The sequence below is a fragment of the Homo sapiens genome, chromosome 12 (assembly GCF_000001405.40).
Source record: "Homo sapiens chromosome 12, GRCh38.p14 Primary Assembly".
NCBI lineage: Eukaryota > Metazoa > Chordata > Mammalia > Primates > Hominidae > Homo > Homo sapiens.
Window position 1 is genome coordinate 58,389,840 of NC_000012.12, and position 6,485 is coordinate 58,396,324.

The 6,485-nt window shown below is 41.6% G+C and overlaps 1 pseudogene; it reads left to right on the plus strand.

The window, feature by feature from the left end:
* The first annotated feature begins 4,775 nt into the window (after positions 1–4,775).
* Positions 4,776–5,325, plus strand: LOC101060021 (ADP-ribosylation factor 1-like; annotated as a pseudogene).
* Positions 5,326–6,485: the final 1,160 nt, after the last annotated feature.

Below are 6,485 nucleotides of genomic sequence, written 5' to 3' on the forward strand. Positions count from 1 at the left end.
TGACTCATGGGTTTGAGTCTTGACATCACTTACTATTAGCTAGATGACACTGAGCAAGCTACTTAGACTCTCTGGGTCTCAGGTTCCTCACCTGTAAAAAAGGTTGTTGTGAATATACAATGTGATTTAAACATTGATAAATTTGGGTATATAATAAATGTTCAATGATAGCTATTATAATCCTATCTTTGGGGTTAATTATTTTCTACCCTTTACTTGCCATCAGCTAATTTTCTGATCTTTCCCCTATATGAAGTAAAAACATTGGCACTTGGCTTATGTCTCTTGTTCATGTCTTGGAAGTATCTTTTATTATTTGTGTCCTATTTATAGCCAATTTAGTGGCATAGTCTCAGAAATTTTTACCCTTTCCAACTCTAGCAACCTCAAACATCGCCAAAGTTCAGGCACTGACACTGCGGCCATCTAGTAAACCTTGTTGGCACAAGAAATTTCTATCCTTCTAAAGTTCTTAAGTGTCAATATTCCATTTGCAGATTACAACCTCAACTTCTTCCAGCTTTCTTATATCCTCACTCCTAGTAAAACCACGATTTGACCTTAATCTTTGAATTCTTCTTTATCTTCACTTATTGATTTTTTTTCCAGTACTTAATCTGGATTCCATGCATCAGCCCAATAACTCTGTTACTAACATTCATCCTGTTACCTGCATTTTGAGTGTGGGGATTTGAGCTCAATGCCACAATTTACCTTCTCTGCTCCTTTAGCAGTGCTGCTCCATGCTGCTGAAGAAAATCTTACTGCCATGTGAACAGATATCTGGACACACACTTGTCTCCAGCCTCAGTAGGACCTTCATGCTTCATCATTTCCCTCTTCCATGTTTCTCCTCAGGCAATACAAATCATTTCTAAATGTTTCAAGTCATATATCTGCCCATATCTCCTAATTCTCTGCGGAGTATGCCTTTTGCTACTTTCACAAGAAAAGCAAGGTAATTAGTTGTGAAATAACTTGAACTCTCCACTCACCACTTACAGAATTACCCCATTTGTATCTATTTTTTCTTCTTTCTTTCAGTGTCATAGAGGATAGATGATGTGAGCCTCTCTCCATGTGTAGTCAGTACTCCCATCCCCTCCCACCCCAAGTGTAAGCTTGTGCATGCAGTGAGCCCCTGCATGCATGCACCGACTTGCTTTTAATTCTATCCCTTCCTTCTCCCCCAGAATGTTGCTGTATTATTTCCCTATTTCAAACTCTATATTTCTACTTTTTCCCATCTCATAATCCATCCCAAAAAATAGAATCTTCTAGGCATTTAAAAGCAGTGCAATGTAGTTAGAGTGACAGGCTGCATTGGAAGGCAAAAGGTCCAAGTCGGAAAAGCAATGCGAAGCTCAAGGGCAGAGGGTGAGGTGAATGGAATATAGGAGAACATGAGTTCTGAGGACAAAAGCCTGCAAGATAGGACAGATATGGGCCATAGCTGGGCTGACAGACCACCTCAAAAACTCATGCATGTGCAGACCATAAGAAGCTTATAGTTGCTATTGGCAACATGAAAAGTCACATCTTTCCTCCATCAGTGTTACAAGAATAGTGAAAAAAGCCACGGTATAACCAGGCTTTAGAGCTGTTTCTCCTGAGCACCCTTTGGCTCACGTAAGCCCAACCTCTAAGTTCAACCACGTGAGGGAAAACTGCTCAAATAGGTTTTATGCACAAAGTCATCCAAAGAATGATATCTAGGTGGCAATTAGTTGCAGAATATAAAATCTTAGCTCAACATTAGATAGCTACATAAGCTCTGTATTCTATATAGACACATGTAATAGTACAGTAGTGTATGGAGTCTAAATTGTGAACGGAGTGGGGGAGGCAAAATTATGGAGCGACTTGCTTATACACTTCAATATTCTGAACCTAATAATTTAACAAGTGTTTTCAAGAGCTTCAGGAATCATTTGTTATTTTCATACAAGCTTTCTTTAATCCCTAAGATCCTTATCCCCATGATAATTTGAAAGTGGAGTGCAAAGGAATAACAAGTAGATTGAGATTAAAGCTGTAAAAATGCCAGCTTATAAGAGGCCCTTTTTCTGTGATTGTAGGTGTGCTGTGAAGTGAAGCAGTGGTTCCTTAAGTGTGGTCCCTGGATGAGAAGTATCAGCATCACCTGGGAAAATTTTGGAACTGCAATTTGTTGTGTCTGACACCAGACCTATCAAATCAGGTTCTCTGGGAGTGCAGCCCTGCAAATCTGTATTTCAGCAAGTCCTCCAGGAGACTGATGCATCTCAAGTTTGAGAACCACTGGCTTTAGAAGATTGGAGCAGCACTGTACATGGATAAATTTGCAGCTACTTAAATGATTTATCAAAGGAATGCTAGAAAACGGTATTTGGTTTTATGAATAGGTACTTGGAAGAGAAATTTATCTAATCCTGATAAAATTTATAATATATTAATGGGGCTGAAATATATTCCAAATGATAGAATTGTGATATCTTAAAAGAAAATGGATCTTTATAGCCTGAAATTATAGATTAAATTTAACAAGCTGAGATTTGTTAAGGAATAGAGGCAAATTCCCATATTTAGCTACAAACCCCCAAATGAATATGTATCAGATGGGAGAAAAATGTCCTGAAACCTTTAGTTGACTACACATTCAATATGAATCAATGATATGATGTGGCTACAACAAATTATCATAGTATATTGTTCACTCATTTATTTGTTCATTTATTCATTAATTATTTATTGAGTGCCTACCATAAACCAGGTGCTGTACTGGTCACTAAGAACGCAAGGATGAGTAAAGCAGGCATGGTCTTCTCATTTAAAGGAACTTACATTCCCATGATTAGTAAAATAAAAACCAGCAAACAAATCTATAAAATACTTTTTAGTTACTCTTAAGTGTTAATAAGAACAGCAAGAGTGATGAAGACCATACTGTTCTTTGTTGTATCTATCACCCAACCCCATGCCTATAGAATTGTGCTCAGCTGAGGTGAGTCACACTTCTGGAGAATTAGACAGATGAGAGAAAGTTTAGCGCAATGGGTTTCAAACTTGAGCATGCATGAGGAACACCTGGAGGGCTTTTTAAAAGCCGGATTGCTGAATCCTAAGCCCCAGAGTTTCTCATTCAATTGGTTTGACTTGGGACCCCAAAACTTACATTTCTAACAAGTTCCCAAGGGTAATGTTGCTGTTGCTGGTTTGGGAGCCACTGGTTTAGACCAGGATAAGGCTAGGGAGGACCAGGACCTGGGCATGCTTTTCTCATAGAAGAGGAAACTTCAATAAGACATGATAGTTGTTTTGAAGTATTTGTAGGAATGATATGTATAAAAATAGATTAAGTTTATTCTATGTAGTCTGAGAAGTAGGATGTAGGTTATTTGGAAGAAGCAGGGAGACACAGTGTAGAAACATAAATAACTTTTCATCTTAGAGCCGATTTAAAATGAGATAGATACCTCAGAAGGGATGAATTCTACCAGAGGCAATGAAGTGTAGCACTGATGATGACTCACTGGGGATGCTATGTGAACAGAAGAGGCGGAGAAAGCCCATCTACAGAGTCTAGGGCAGTAGAGGGGAGTGGAGGCAGAGAGGAAAACCTGCCCAAATTGCCAGTAACTTTTCGCTTTTTGGTTCTAGCCTTTCTTGAAGCTCAGGCATTTTTGCCTTTGAGTCCTGTGGGGTCATTTCTATAATCCTAAAAAAAATTCTTTATTTCTGTTTAAGCTAATTTCTTGCTCTCATTTTCTAACAAGGAATCTAGTAATGAGAATATCTGTTGGAATTGGAAACATGGAGTTCCTTGGTCACATTTGCCAGTGTAATTTCAGGGCTGCTTTTGGAGTAGACATTAAATTACACTGAAGAGTGAATGAGAGGCGAAGAAGTAGAGGAATCAAGAGTGGTCTGGAAAGTGTGGCTCAAAGCAAGAGGGAATTTTGGAGTCCAAACACTTTTTGTTTTTTGTTTTTTTTTTGCAAAGATAGGAATGACTAGAGCAACTGTATACATTGAGGTAAAACAGACAATTGAATGGGAGAGAGAGAGCAGGTAATAATCGGAGTAAGTTGAGGTAGAAATAAAACAGAATGAGATTATAACCCAAAGAAAGAAGTTAGTTTTGAACTAGAGGAGGAACATCTCATCTTCTGAGGAGACAAAGCAAGAAAGGAAGCTTGGCCTTAAAGGGAGGTAGTGGTGAGACAGGGGGCAAGAAGTTGAAATTCACATGAAGTGTGAAGTGAGATAATTTCCTGAGGGAGGGCTGGGATTGCGGAGGGTAGAGTAGGAAGCCTAAGGAGACAATGAAGTTTGAAGCATCACTTCAGGAAGTGGAAAAGGGATTTGACCAAAGACAGAAGAAGGGGTTGTGGAGCAGGAAGGGGAGCCCAGATAAGACCCTTGATTTAGAGTGATAGCAATTGGAAAATTGTGTGATATTTGCCAATGTGATCAGAAGCTCAGGGAAAGTCTAGATGTGGAGACACATTCCAGGGAGTGTGAAGGGAAGATAGTGATGCAAGGAAGTTGAGAGAACTGTTTTTTTAAAAAGTTATTTGATGGAGGCCAGTCATGGTGGCCCATGCCTGTAATCCCAACACTTTGGGAGGCTGAGGTGGGTGGATCACTTGAGGCCAGGAGTTCGAGACCAGCCTGGCCAACATGGCAAAACCCCCATCTCTACTAAAAATATATACATTAGCCAGGCGTCATGGTGCTCATCTGTAGTACCAGCTACTTGGGAGGCTGAGGGTCCATGGGGATTATCTTTTACCAACTTCTTTAAGGTCGTTTTTGGCAAAAAAGAAACGCTTGTCCTCATGGTGGGCCTAGATGCTGCAGGCAAGATGATGATTCTGTATAAGCTGAAGCTGGTTGAGATTGTGACCACTGTTCCCATCACAGGCTTCAATGCAGATACATGGAGTCTAGGAACGTCAGCTTCACTGTGTGGGACATGGCAGGCCAGCACAAGATCTGGCCTCTGTGGTGCCACTACTTCCAGAACACATAAGGCCTGATCTTTATGGAGGACAGTAGTGACAGAGAGCACATGAACAAGGCCCATGAGGAGCTCATGAGGATGTTGGCTGAGGATGAGCTCTGGAATGCGGTCCCCCTGGTGTTCCCAACAAGTAGGCCCTTCTCAACACCATGAACACCACTGAGATCACAGACAAGCTGGGGCTGCATTCCCTGCTCCACAGGAACTGATACATTCAGGCCACCTGTGGCACCTGTGGTGACCAGCTCCATGAAGGACTGGACTGGCTGTCCAGTCAGCTCCAGAACTGGAAGTGAATGTGACACCCTTCTCCATCTCCCTCGTCCTCTTAAAACCTCTTCTTTACTCCCATGTGGCAAAAAGCTCTGTACTGTGAATGCCAGAAACTGCCTTTGTGGTTTGGCTTATTGTGTGCGTTGCACTGTGCTGTAAATGTGGCAGAAGCAGCCTGTGGCCAGGCTTTTCATTAAATGTAAATAGGTTTTGTTTCCAACAAGACAGTTTCTGGTAGTCACATGCAATATTACTCAGCTTTTTTTTTTAATTGTAAAAAATAAAATCAACTCACTGGTCAGTGCTGAGAGGGATTGTAGGCCCGTGGGCACCTGGCCTCTGGGATTGATCACTGTTTTGGGATTACTGGATGCACCCCTGGCTTTAGAGCTATGTTGAAATCCATTCTTGTGGTTGGTTTTAAGCCTGAACTCAGCCATTTTTAAAATGGTTAAAAATCCAAGTTGAGAACACTTGAACACACAGAAGGGAGACCCTGCCTAGTGTGGATTTGCAGTTATGGCCTGGATGCTAGTCATCAGCTTGGCTGTTCCCCTCAGGAATGTGAGGTGGTGGCCTGTCAGACCACATCAATTCTGCATGATTGCAATAGAGATCCCTGTGACTCACCTGTTCTTGGGTCACTTTGCATCCTATAGCCTTATGCTTGTCCCTGTGCTTCCATGGTTCCTAAGGGCTGGGCTAGGAACCCATTGCCAGCCCACTCTCCCCTAGGCTGGTCAGCTGCCCATCCACCTGCCCACAGCCAGCTCAGGGGACACAGGCCCCACCTGTCCCTTGGTAAGCATATGGCCAGAGTGGGCTCATTGCCTCCAGAACTGACACTCTCTCAGACATATTGGTGGGATGTCTTTGGCATCACCAGCAGGAGTGTGTGTGAGCCAGGCAGGCCATGCTTCTAAACCTACAGACCCTTGGAAGCACCCTATCTCCATGTATGACATAGCTTTCTCTCCCTTAGCTTGCAAGAGTCCAATTTGCTATCAAAAAAGATGACCTCTACTTTTTCTTTTGTATTTTGATGAATACTGCAGAAGCTGGAGCTGTTAAATTATCTTGGGTAAAACCTCAGAACCGGTCTGTTTGATGTCAGGGAATCTTACTTGTTTCAATACACAATTAATAAAAGAAAATGAAAATAATTGCTCTTCAAAATAGATTTCTCCTCTGTCATAGCAGATACACT